The following is a 14,697-nucleotide window of genomic DNA, read 5'->3' on the forward strand; positions in this document are numbered from 1 at the left end:
TGAAAAATAATATATTATTTTTCAATTGTTTAATCTGATTGATACCTTTAAAAATCTGTGACATAAAAGTATAAGAAAGTGGTGTTGCAAAAATAGTACATTTTCATCCTGGCATCATACAAAGAAGAAAAACTGTTGCCATAGATGTGAACTGATGTCTGAAGCTTAATTGAAGTAGGAAAAAAAATTAGAAAGCTTTTGAATTATTCTTTTGTTTATGCCACAATCCCAAATCTGTGAATGAAATCTGGGACTGTCACCACTCAACCATTCCTACTTTATCTGTAGTTTATCTCTTTTGACTAAACCTCTGACTATACCTTATTCTAGATGCCAAAGTTGATTCTATCAATGATAACCTCAGAATAGTTCATTAAATATAACAGAACACAATGTCTTCTTCACATTTTCATAGCAATAATTGAATGTCAGCTATATTAATCCCTGCACTTAATACTTTGCCTGATATATAGAAGGCAATTCAATAAATGTATATTTAATGATTGGGTGGAAGAATTGAATAATAAATAGATGGAAGAACAATGAACCTAAGACCTCTGGAAATAGAGTAGATGATGATGAATTTGTTCTTGCTGGTCCTAGTGTTGAAAGCAGCAAGAAAAAGTCAAAATCAGCACCAAAGACAGAGAACACGGTCCACATTATCTCTAGTATCCCTGTCAGCTGATGGTTTTCCTATTTGAGAAATGTAACTCATGAAACTGATGGACGCAGTATTGGTGACCTTGCACATCCCCCTCTAAAACCCAAGTGTATCCCAGGTTAAGATGACTTTGAGCATGATCTCTAAATGACCGAGACTTACTTGGTATTTATGCTTATACCCTCCCACAAAGAGATGATCACAGAACTTTTTAAGTCTACCTTATCATTACAATAGATAAATTCAAAGTAAGATATTTCTATAAATCTGCTTTCCCACCCCCACCACAAAAACTATTATAGAGGAAAAATGTTCATGCTATAGTGACCCTTGCAAAAATTAAATTCTGTGATAGGACTACGCAACAGCTGTAGCTCCCCAAACCATGGAATAAAAGGAAAATGACTATTAGAACCTATATATCTTTATGCAAGAGTTCCTACAGAGGTGGAAGTCAACTTGGTTCCTACTTAGACCCTATGAGGAAAGGGCAGGTACACAAAACACTCAGCCTTTCCTTAGCAAAGGATCCAACCCAGAGTGACTTGCAAAATTACATTAAGGAAAAGAATAGATAGACTCCCACCAGTAAAACAAGGCGAGCAGTTCTCTTCCCTTCTCTTCTCTTCTCTTCTCTTCTCTTCTCTTCTCCCTCTCAAACACACACACACACACACACTTTACACACACACACACACAGCTCAAGTCACTAGAGTCTAAAAAACCACTTGTTGACTTTAAGGCCCATATCCAATACAGCTGGCACAACCCCTGGAAAATGCATGCTTTTGAACTGAAGGTTTTCCCCAGTCTCAGAGTATTTGAAGGCATCCATATCACCTATTTTGTCTTGTCAGGCCAAAAGAGTGCAAAAGCAAGCAAGCAAGAGAGGGCTGAACTCACTTTATAATTACCCACTCTCATGCCTCCACCTGCTAGCCAATGAAGACCACCTGTAAATACAAAGCAATTGCCTAGACTGCAATCTAGGAACTCCTGTAGCTCAAAAGCCCACACTAGAATGCACCCCTTTGGGTGACATCCCCGGGCCTGATAAAGTCACCGCTATTATTTTAATTTGACGTATAGTCTCTGGTAGCGGCCAGTAAATTTTCTCTCCAGGCCTCCTTCCCATCCCGATATTCTAAAACCTCTGAAGTCTCCACATTCCTCAGAACTTAGCCAGCTCTAAGACACTGACTTTGGGTATCCAGGCCTCCCCTATTACAATTTAACCTTTTCACTTTCCATTCTCTTGCCTTCTCAAAAAGATTCAATGGTCACCATTGGTTTTTACTACATCAAGCTTAATTTTACTAACTTTCAAGGCCTTTCATAAACAGTAATACCCCACCTGGTCAACCTGATTTCCCACAATTTGGAGTGCTCTAGTCAGGCCCATCACTTCACAGTCCCAGACAGCCACCTTATTCCCAAGGTTTTCCAGAGCTGTATCCTGGAGCAAAGGAGAAAAATATTCCTCTGGACTGATACATCGCATTACAACAAATTTGTAGTGGTTTTTCAGTAAGGAAGACGGTATAGGGTCTTGATTACAAATAAGTTATTTTAAAGTGATTGTTTGAAATGCAAATTAAGGAGATTAGTTTGACTATTTAAACATAATTCTGGCCAGATGCAGTGGCTTATGCTAGTAATCCTAGCATTTCAGGAGGCTGAGGCAGGAGAATCGCTTGAGCTCAAGAGTTCAAGACCAGTCTGGGAAGTATGGTGAGACTCCATCTCTAAGATAAAAATTAGCCAGGCATGGTGGCATACACCTCTAGTCCCAGCTACTTGGGAGGCTGAGACAGGAGGATCGCTTGAGCCCAAGAGGTTGAGACTGCAATGAGTCATGACCACACCACTGCACTCCAGCCAGGGCAACAGAGCAAGACTCTGTTTCTAAAGTTAATTAATAAATTAATTTTAAAATTTTTAATTTAGTATGTTATAAGGTATTTCTTTTTAGATAATAGAATAACCACTAGGTTGTGTTTGTTGTTTGAAATGAGAGCTGGTGGGAATAAATTAAATAACCACAAATCATCTTTAATAAGATTAAAGTTTGGCTCTCAAACTTTAGCTAAAATCAGAATTGCTTGGAGAGCTTGTTAAAATACAAATTGCTGGGCCCCATCCTGAGAGTTTTTGACTCAGTAACCGTGATGGGAACAAGGCATTTTCATTTCTAACAAGTCCTTAGGTGACACTGCAGCTTCTGGTCTGGGGACCACATATTGAGACTCTGACCACATATTGTGACTCACTGACTTAGTATTTACTATGTCCCAGGACATTTTCTACATTATTTCCTTATATTATATCATTTAATACTTACAATAAAAACCTATGAACCTAGAGGTCATTATGTTTAGTGAAATGAGCCAGGCACATACAGAAAAATACCACATTATCTATTTCATATCTAGATTCTGTAAAATCTGAAGAAGTCAAACTTATAAAAATAGGAAGTAGAATGGTGTTTACAAGAGGGTTTTTTCCGGTGGGGTGAGGTTGACAGGGAAAGGGAAGAGGTTGGTCAACAAGTACAAAGTTTCAGTTAGATAGGATGAATAAGTTCTGATGTTTCACTGCATAGCATGATAACTATAGTTAATAATAATATATTGTATATTTCAAAATAGCTAAAAGAAAGGAGTTTAAATGTTCTTACCACAAAGAAATAATAAATATTGGAGGTGATAGTTATGCTAATTAGCCTTATTTGATTATTCTACAATATATATGTGTATCAAAACATCATATTATACTCCATAAATACATATAATTATTATTTGTCAATTTAAAAATAAAATAATTTTTAAACTATAAGGTTTGTGTTATTAGTATTTGTATTCTACAGATAAAGAGGCTAAGTAACTTGCCTAGCTAGTAAGTGGTAGACAAAGCACTCAAAACTTAGCAATCAACTCCAGATCCTGCATGCTTCACTCCAAGGATTTAACTATGTATTGATAGGAAAGTGTCCATTTGAAATTGGTAAATGGATTGATTCCCTTTGTAGGCACAATTATGTCCCCAGGGAAAAGGGAGAGGTTACATTAAAGCCAGCATTAAAAGGGCCACATTGCTACAACCGAAACAGAACAGTTTTCTAGAGCAGATCCATGAGGACTAGTCATTGAAGTCTTTCTAAAGAAAATAACCCCAGCTTCCCTCCACTCCTAAGCCCTTTAGAAGGCAACCTCAAGACCTCCAGAATGTAGTGATGAGTGATGATTTAGACAGTTCTGAGGCAGAGAAAACCCTGTACTCAAGGAAAAACTGTATCACACTGACTTCTGATTCCCCCTCCTTGCTTACGCAGACTTCAGTGTTTTTAAGCTTTTTCAGATGATTCCAACGTACAGCAAATTTCATAACTAGTGCTCCAAAGCAATCGCTGGGTCTCCCACCACAGCTTGATTCTTTCTCAGGCAATAGAACTTCGACGAAGTTCATCTCACCAACCTTCTCTGGGTCACTGCTTCTGCTGTAGTCATTAACACAGCCCTTCATCCGGTCTGCACACGCAGTAGGTCTCAATACTCCATACGCCCCTCTCTAACACCTGGAGCCCTGTCTAGGATGTAGTAGGTCTTTGAATCAGAAGATCTATGAACAATTACAAAATTATTACCTGTTCATCGCTGGGAAGACTGACAAAGAGAGTCAAAATATTTATTTTGGAAAAAGTCTGTCTCAATATAGGAAAGTTCTACTTCATATGAAAATACTAAACATATGGCACCCTCCTTTGTTTAAATCATATTTAATATTTTCATACAAGATATTTCCTTATAATAGAGCCTGATTCACATTCAAAAATACTTGTGGAATGCAAGCAGTTTCATCTATTAATGTAACTTCTGGGGCAGCATTTTTTAAATATATACATCATGTATTTTCTGCCTATTTCCAAAAATAAATTTGAAAAAATATGTAATATCAAGATGCATATGAAACAAAATAGATTAAACAGATATAAAATGATGATTATTAATCATCAGAAAGGTGAGGCCGGGCGCGGTGGCTCACGCCTGTAATCCCAGCACTTTGGGAGGCCGAGGCGGGCAGATCACAAGGTCAGGAGATCGAGACCATCCTGGCTAACACGGTGAAACCCCGTCTTCACTAAAAAATACGAAAAAATTAGCCAGGTGTGGTGGCGGGCGCCTGTAGTCCCAGCTACTCGGGAGGCTGAGGCAGGAGAATGGTGTGAACCTGGAAGGCAGAGCTTGCCATGAGCCGAGATAGCGCCACTGCACTCCAGCCTGGGTGACAGAGCGAGACTCTGTCTCAAAAAAAAAGAAAGGTGAAAGAACAGTGAACTAGAATTCATGGATGAGTGACTTGCTTTCTGTAACTGAGCACACTAAATTTGGTTCTGAGCTTTGTGGCAGACAATGAAAAATATGGATAAATATTGGATGATACCAATTTAATTATGAAGAGAAAGGGAAAGAGGAAGAGAGAGGGTAGGAAAGAAAGCATGTTTAGAAAATAATATTTTCCTGGGATTAAATTCTGGGCCATTATGACACTTACCCTAATTTGGGAAACACTTGGTCCCATAATAATCAATATGTTTTTCAATGTTAGCTCCAACCTCTAGATTGTCAGTCATGAACTATGATGGATATGCAAACCATGCCTCTGTAAAACAAAAAGAGAGAATGATTGGTTAACTAATTGTCTTTCAATACCACCAAATATCAGCAAATTTCAACCATAATATTTACTGTATATGGCTATAAATTCATGCAGCCAGCTTAACAAAAATTAGTCTTGTCTCAATGTTCCCAACTAAAAACCAGACATGAATTTTCTTGGCCTTGTTTCACAGAAATGACATTTCTCTTGGGTTGGGTTCAACATAACTGTCATCTCTCTGTCTCACCTATCAGACTTCCACTTGTGGTCTAAGTGCACATTCACTCTGTTAATAACCACAGAACATTTACTCACTGTTGATTAAAATCATTTGTCCCCATAGTTGGTGAGGTAGAGTTAGTATTTCCCCTTTTCTGTAGCTCAAAACATTTTTATATCCAAATGTGGGACTTAACATTTGTCTCTAAAACATGTAGTCACTCCAACCTGTTCAAACTTCTTCAGATCCAAAGTCTATAATTCAACATCTTTATTTATTTCTCTTTTATTTATGTCTGTTATCCAAAAAAATCTGCTTAAGAAGTACTTTGCCTCGGTCTTATTTACATGAAGAGATATGATGTCTTTGTTATAGTACATCTATTTTCCATGTTTTTCCACTTTCTAAAAACCCATATATATGGCTGGCAAGAACTTAGTTTTTGTTCATTTGTTTGTTTTTGAGACAGGGTCTCACTCAGTCACCAAGGCTTGAGTGCAGTGGCATGATCACAGCTCACTGAAGCCTCGACTGCTTGGGCTCAAGCGATCCTCCCACCTCAGCCTCCTGAATAGCTGGGATTATAAGCATGCACTACCATAACCAGCTATTTTTTTTTTTTTTTTTTTTTGTAGAGACAGGGTCTTACTATATTGCCTAGACTGGTCTCAAACTCCTGGACTCAAGCAATCCTCCTGCTGTGGTCTCCGAAAGTGCTGGGATTACAGGCATGAACCACTGTGCCCAGCCCAGAACCTTGTTTTAAATATACTATGATACTTACTTTTCAAGTCCTACAGATGTAAATAATATAAACTCTACTAGCCTTTGAAATTCCAAACTAAAATAAGTCAGCACATGATCACCATATTAGCCCTATTCTAACAAAATGGTATGTATTGTTGAAGCAATCTTTTATCACTTAGTAGAGAAAGCCCCAAATATCTATCAGTAAAATCAGCACTATGATTAATTTCATTTTATAAGTAACATAATAGTAGTAATGACGATGCCATGTACAATTTCAGAAGAGACACACCTGAAAGATAATTTTTTGGTAAGGCTCTGGAAGTGGTCTGCTGAGAAATATTTAGCAACCAGCATGAATGCCCTGTGTGCTTTTCAAGTGGGATCCACTTCAGGCATGAACACCACAACAGATGGGAAGGTTAATATATCCCGATGCCACCCATAGCAATTGAGACCTAGTAAGGACCTCAAGAATATGCAGTTGTACTTCCTGTCATACAAATAAAACTAAATCTTTAGGTATTTATATTTGTGTGGGGCGTCCCACTGTACTTTATTGCAGCTAGAACTCACACCTAATCCTTTTAACGTAAAACACTAAAACTTATTTTCATGTTAGGCAACAGAGTACTTTCTTAGCACTCTAAGTGTGGGACATCCATCCTTTGACCCATTCCATGAAAAACATTCCATGGTCAAATACACATATATTATGTTCCTCTCAGATATTTACCACACTCATTAGCTTTGATAAAGAAATGTTTAAAAGCATGAATGCAGCATTTTCTAACTCATTTAACCCTATATCTTTCCACACCCCTACCCCATCCATTAGCATTCCACAGTCCTGTGGAACACACTGAGGAAAATGTTTGCTTCTGAACATTCTTTTCTTCACCTATCCTGGTGCTATCGCTCAGAGCTCTATACTAAATATGTTAAATTCTTCCTCCACTTGATGAAACTTCAAATATCTGAAGATAGCTCTCATATTCCTCTGAAACCCTCCAGAGGCTGGTTGCACATAAGCTGAGAGAAACTATCATCAGACCAAACAGGCACCCTACAGAATGGGAGAAAATTTTTGCAATCTACCTGTCTGACAAAGATCTAATATCTAGAATCTACGAGGAACTTAAACAAATTTACAAGAAAAAAACAAACAATGCCATCAAAAAGTGGGCAAAGGACGTGAACAGACACTTCTCAAAAAAAGACATTTATGTGCCCAGCAAACATGAAAAACAGCTCAACATCACTGATCACTAGAGAAATGCAAATCAAAACCACAACGAGATACCATCTCATGCCATTCAGAATGGCGATTATTAAAAAGTCAAGAAACAAAAGTGCTGGCAAGGCTGTGGAAAAATAGGAACACTTTTACACCGTTGTTGGGAATGTAAATTTTTTCAGTCATTGTGGGAGACAGTGTGGTGATGCCTAAAGGATCTAGAAGAAGAAATATCATTTGACCCAGCAATCCCCTTACTAGGTATATACCCAAAGGAATATAAACCATTCTATTATAAACATACATGCACGCATATCTTCATTGCAGCACTATTCACAATAGCAAAGACATGGTATCAACCCAAACGTCCATCAATGAGAGACTGGTTAAAGAAAATGTGGTACATACACACCATGGAATACTATGCAGCCATAAAAAAGAATGAGATCATGTCCTTTGCAGGGATTTGGATAAAGCTAGAAGCCATTATACTCAGCAAACTCACACAGGAACAGAAAACCAAACACCACATGTTCTCACTCATAAGTGGGAGTTGAACAATGAGAACACATGGACACAGGGAGAGTAACAACACACACCAGGGCGTGTCGAGGGGAGGGAGAGCATCAGGATAAATGGCTAATGCATGCAGGGCTTAATACCTAGGTGATGTGTTGATAGGTGCCATAAACCACCATGGCACACGTTTACCTATGTAACAAACCTGCATGTCCTGCACATGTATCCCGGAACTTAAAATAAGAAAAAGTAGGTGGGAACCCTAATGGCTTTGGAGGCACTGACAATCTGTAAGTCCATGGATCTTTCTGGCACACACTTCCAGAGAAATTTAAAGAGGATGTTAAGCAAAGAGAAATCTACAGTGTCAGCTGGAGGTCCTCCAACCAAGCAACACTGAAAAACCCAGCAATCCTGAAAGAAAGTGTAGGGATACTTTTAGCAGTTGTTTCACCAGATTAATTAATTGCTTCTGAAAGAAAAATTTTTAAACAAAGCATCAGTTACCTTTCCCCACTCTGAAGACCCAAAACAAAAAGAGAAAGGAAACGGAACCCTGATTACTATTCAGATTGGGTTGAAGAACACTTCTAAATGTTGTTTAATGAAGAGGAATATTTCAAAGAGGGGCAAACTGGTCAACTCCAAAAACCTTTTATTCAGTATTAATGAAAAGGAACAATGAATTGTATGGTATAAGCATTTAAGCAGTCTTTTTCTCAGCTAAATAGAAATGTGTTTGAAAAAAAGATCTCTGCCAGGGTTTTCTTTTGTCTATATAGATTTTTGCCCTAGCTGCTCTGGGGGAAAAAAATTCTAAAACCATAGGTGTCTTTGCTACTTGTTCAAAAGGACAGAGCATGGGAGTTAAAACAAACAAACAAAATGACATGAGCAAATAAAGGGAATGTTTAGATAGGAAATATAACTTGGAATTACAAATGGACACTCTTCAGACCTGTGCAGGGTTTTCACAAAGCTCTTGATGAATTAGTTCTACAGGTAACATAATTCAAATCACTTGAGGTAGGGCATACAATAATAAAACTCTTGAAATCACTGTGCATCTGAAGGAAAGATCTTTCCATTTGAGAAAATAACAAGAATTACAGGTGAACAATGAAGAAAAACCATTCAGAATTCTTTTAGGCATTAACCGGCAGCAAACCAAATAAAATTAAATATTTAATGAAATCAGCCTAAATCCAACCAATACAAGCAGGAAATTGCCAAGATGGCTTTTAAACTTAATCCTTAACTCTTGGTCATTCACCCAGGGATATTGCTAATGCTGTGACAAGTGAAGCCGACGAAGGACTAACTTCTGGGGCAACTCAAAACTCATGCATACTCAAAGCTACAATACTGTATCAAATAAGTTTTAACCAATCCTAGGCTGCATTGGCTACAGAAAGGTTTTCAAGTTGACTAATGCCGTGTAGTGGCTTTATGCTGTGAATTATTAGTATAGAAAGGACTGGCTTTTTTATGTTGTGCTTTGGAACAAATAAAATAAAATAGAAATAAAAAAACAAAACAAATGAGTAAAAAATCCTCCTACCCAACCCAAAAACTCAATGTGAAAAAGGTCAGGGAAGAGCAGTCATTAATAGCCCATCATATTAAACTCTCACATGATGTCTCCCCATGGATTAATGAAATAGCCTCTTCAAAGGGACCTCCTTGCCAACACTCCAACTCACCGCAATCCATCTTTTACAGCACAGCCAATGTAAGCTTACAAATCTGACTGAAATTACTTCCTTGCCTAAAGACTTTCATTGGCTTCCCGCTGCCTAGGAGGAAAGAACTAACTTACTGGTTTAGCATTAAAGCCCTTCCCAACTTCCCCTTGCCCCACATCTCTAGCTGCATCACTTGCCATGCCTTCCCTTATCCCTAGCTCCAGCATTCATCCAAAGCCCCATGCACAGTACATTTTCTATTCTATGTCTCCTACCTGAGCCTTTGCATCAGCCTTTTTCTTCTTAGATTGCCCTCCTTCCAACCCAAGTTCTGGGAAAGTACTCATTGATCAAAACTCTGCTCCAGTATCATGGTTTCTATGGAACTTTTTGCAGCTCTCCTGGGCCAAATTAATTGCTTCCTTCCTCATGCTTCCAGGGCACTCTTATTCTAAATAAACAATAATAGATGAAAATCATTAAGCACTTAACTATGTGCCAGGCATAGTTCTAAGCACTTTTATTCATTTAATTAATTCTTGTTTAATCCTCACAACAACCCCATGAGGGTAGGACTATTATTACTATCCCCACTTTTTAAATGAGAAAACTGAGGCACAAAAAGTCAAAATGTCTTGGATAGGGTCATATAGCCAGTAAGTGGCAGACACAAGATTCTGACACAGGCAGCCTGGTTCTGAAGCATTCACTCTTTACCACACCACATTGCCTTGCATCAGTCTGTTCCCCTAACAGACTGAGAGGCTCCTGGAATCAAGTTGAAAGGGATTCCAGGGCTTGGATTGGCCAAAGAGTTTCTTAGAGGCAGGAGTCACCTGAGGGAGCCACAAAATCAGGAAAATAAGCAGAGCCAAGAATTGAGAGGGAAGGTCAATCAAGCAACCAAAAATGGTAAGAGTTCATAAGTGCCCCAAATCAAGGGACAAGTGCAGATGTCAGAAGCTGGCTGTGCAGTCAAGGATAAGAGAGCCAGGGACCAGGCTGGTTCCAGAAGCAGGAAATGTTTTTATTCTGGACCAGGATCATTGAACTTGGCACTAGCCTAACCAGTAAGGCCTGCTGCCCAGCAGATCCTTTGGCCCACCCAGCCAAGGCATCTGGGTGGGTCCAGGGCATCTGTGTTGGTCCAGGGTATGAGAGGCTGGTGGGCCCCATGGCCACCTGCTGAGCTGAAAATCGCAGATCACCCCTCTTCTCTTGAGCAGGTTTAGTGGTACAGGAGAGGCACCTCCGCTCCTACCAAGAGGGTGATACCGGCAGCCTGAGAGCTTCCCCTAAATCCCCACTGAGGTCAGCACTTACACTTGCCCTGGAAAGCCTAGTTGCAGATTGGCCCAATGCAGCCCCAACCAGCTTTACTCCCTTCAGCCACCTTGGCAGCAGAGCACAGAAACAGGATGTGAACCCTGAAAGTCCCATGACCTGCCAATCAACAAAAGGCCAGGTTAAAATTCCACTGCCATTACCACAACTGCCTCTCATCTGAAAGTTCCGCCTACTGGCTGGGAAGTCAAACTGCAGGACCCATCACAACTATTGATATCTTTGTACAGTGCTCAGCTGGCTTTTACATGCAAGCACCAACTGCTGGCCTGTAGAGTAAACTGCTCAACCCAATATAATTACTACTGAAAGAATTGCATAGCACTGGGAGATGAGATGAGCCTCTTGAGATCTCTCTTTTCCCATCTCTGTAAGAGATAGTGAGCCTGACCACACATACATCACCCCACCACTACAACGTACAAGCTACTAGAGTTTGAGAAAATACACCAAGACTATCTATAACCAAGGAATTCATGCAGAGCCTTGGCCCTCTAAAAGCACATAGACACAAAGCCTAAGGATCCTACCCAACATATACAACAGTCACCTCTCAGGAGGGAAAGAAGAAAAATCCCACCCAAATGAAAATAACCAAAAATGAGAAGTGACAGCTTCTACAGATGAGAAGAAACTAACATAAGAGCTCCAGCACCATGAAGAAACAGAATGGTGTGACATTCCCAAAGGACCACACTAGCTCTCTAACAATAGATCCTTTTTCAAGGATCCATTTCAAAGTTTTCATTTGGAAAACATTGAAATGACAGATAAGGAATTCTCAATATGGATTATAAGAAAGTTCAATGAGATCCAAGAGAAAGTTGAAAACAACACAAAGAAACCAAAAAAAAACAATTCAAGAGATGAAAAATTAGATAGTTATATTTTTAAAAACCAACCAGAATTTCTGGAAATGAAAAATTCACTGAAAGAATTTCAAAACACAGCTGAGACCTTTAACAACAGACTAGACCAAGCAGAAGAAAAGAATTTCAGGGCTTGAAGAGCAGTCTTTCTAATTACTTCAATAAGACAAAAACAAATAAAAAAGAATTTTAAAAAAAATGAACAAAGCCTTTGAGAAATACAAGATAATGTAAAGTGACCAACCCTATGATTTTATAGGTATTCTTGAGGGAGAAAAAAAGTAAGAAGTTTGGAAAACATATTTGAAGAAATGGTTCAGGGAAATTTCCCTGATCTTGCTAGAGATATAGACATCAAGATACAAGAAATCCAAATAACATCTGGAAAATACTATACAAGCTGAACATCACCAGGACATATAGTCATCAGACTACCCAAGGTCAATGTAAAAGAGCAAATCAAAGGCAAATAGACAGAACATACCAAAACCTCTGAGATACAGCAAAAGCAGTGCTAAGAGGGAAGTTTATAACATTAAATGCCTACATCAAAAAGATAGAAAGATCTTGAATTAACAACTTAATGTCACACCTCAAGGAACTAGAAAAACAAGAACAAACCAAACCCAAAGTTAGCAGCAGAAAATAAATAACAAAGACCAGAGCAGAACTGAGACTGAGAAAAAAAGTGATATAAAGGATCAATGAAACAAAAAGTTGGTTTTTTGAAAGGATAAGCAAAATTGATAAACCACTAGCTATCTTAACCAAAAAAAAAATGCATTTTCAAATAAGCACCATCAGAAATGACAAGGTGACATTATAACTGATACCATAGAAATATAAAAGATCATCAGAGATTACTATGGACATCTCTATGCACACAAACTAGGATACCTAGAGGAAAGAAATAAATTCCTGGGAATATAAAACATCTCCAGATTGAACGAGGCAGAAAGAGAAATTCTGAACAGACCAACAATAAGTAAAATTGAATGAGTAATTTGAAAAAAAAATTTTAAACCTTTAAACAACAAAAAGCCCAGGACTAGACAGATTCACAGCAGAATTTTACCATTCAAGGGGGAGCTAGTAGCAATCTTACTGAAACTATTCCAAACACTCAAGGAGGAGGGATTCCTTCCTAAGTCATTCTATGAAACCAGTGTCACTCTGATACGCAAATCAGACAAGAATACAAGAAAAAAAGAAAACTATAGACCAATATCTCTGATGAATATAGGTGCAAAAATCCTCAACAAAATACTAGCAAACTGAATCCAATAGCACATCAAAAAGATAATTCATCATGATCAAGTGGGTTTTATTATGGGATGCAAGGATGGTTCAATATTCACAAATTAATAAATGTTATTCACCACATAAACAGAATTAAAAACAGAAACCATATGATCATCTTAATAGATGCAGAAAAAGCATTTGACAAAATTCCACATCCCTTTATGATAGAAAACCCTCAACAAATCAGGATCTGAGGGAACATTCCTCAATGTAATAAGAGCCATATATGACAAACCATAGCCAACATCATACTGAAAAGGAGAACTTGAAAGTATTAACCCTAAAAACTGGAACAAGGCCAGGCGTGGTGGCTCACACCTGTAATCTCAGCACTTTGGGAGGCCAAGGTGGACAGATCACAAGGTCATGATATTGAGACCATCCTGGCTAACATGGCAAAACCTCATCTCTACAAAAATACAAAAAATTAGCTGGGCATGGTGACACGCACCTGTAGTCCCAGCTACTCAGGAAGCTGAGGCAGTAGATTGCTTGAACCCAGGAGGCAGAGGTTGCAGTGAGCTGAGATCGCACCATTGCACTCTAGCCTGGGTGACAGAGAGAGATTCCATCTCAAAAACACAAAAAAACAAAAACAAAAACAAAAAATAAAAAAATAAATAACCTGGAACAAGACAAGGATGTCCATTCTCACCACTCCTATTCAACATAGTACTGGAAGTTCCCACCAAAGCAACCAGGCAAGAGAAAGAAATAACAGCCATTGAAATTGAAAAAGAAGACCAGGCTGGGCGCGGTGGCTCACACCTGTAATCCCAGCACTTTGGGAGGCCAAGGCAGGCGGATCATAAGGTCAGGAGATCGAGACCATCCTGGCTAACATGGTGAAACCCCGTCTCTACTAAAAACACAAAAAATTAGCCGGGCGTGGTGGCGGGCACCTGTAGTCCCAGCTACTTAGGAGGCTGAGGCAGGAGAATGGCATTAACCCGGGAAGCGGAGCTTGCAGTGAGCCGAGATTGCACCACGGCACTGCATCCTGGGCGACAGCACAAGACTCCATCTCAAAAAAAAAAAAAAGAAGACCAAATTATCTCTGTTCATTGAAGACATGATATTATACATAGGAAACTCTATAGACTCCTCCAAAAGATTCCTAGACTTGATAAATTATTTCAATAAAGTATCGGGATACAAAATCAATGTACAAAACTCAGTAACATTTCTATACACCAATAACATTCAAGCTTAAAGACAAATCAAGAACTCAATCCAATTTACAATAGTCACACAATAAAAAATACTAGGAATACATTTAACCAAGGAGATGAAAGATCTCTACAAAACACTGATAAAGTAAATCATAGATGACACAAACTAATAGAAAACATTCCATGCTCATGGATTGGAAGAATCAATATTGTTAAAATGAACATATTGCCCAAAGCAGTCTACAGAATCAACACAATTTCTATCAAAGTATCAATGTTATT

At 38.6% G+C, this 14,697-nt stretch overlaps 1 long non-coding RNA gene across 1 annotated transcript in view; it reads right to left on the minus strand.

The window, feature by feature from the left end:
• Positions 1-3,982: 3,982 nt before the first annotated feature.
• The window catches only part of LOC124906307 (uncharacterized), a 97,668-nt gene continuing 86,953 nt past the window's right edge, over positions 3,983-14,697 (minus strand). The window contains exons 2-4 of the long non-coding RNA XR_007096180.1: positions 10,004-10,179; positions 5,216-5,323; positions 3,983-4,282 (exon numbers count right to left, since the gene is read on the minus strand). This is a non-coding gene — a long non-coding RNA (uncharacterized LOC124906307). The remainder of the gene's footprint in view (positions 4,283-5,215; positions 5,324-10,003; positions 10,180-14,697) is intronic.

Source organism: Homo sapiens, chromosome 3 (genome assembly GCF_000001405.40).
Source record: "Homo sapiens chromosome 3, GRCh38.p14 Primary Assembly".
NCBI lineage: Eukaryota > Metazoa > Chordata > Mammalia > Primates > Hominidae > Homo > Homo sapiens.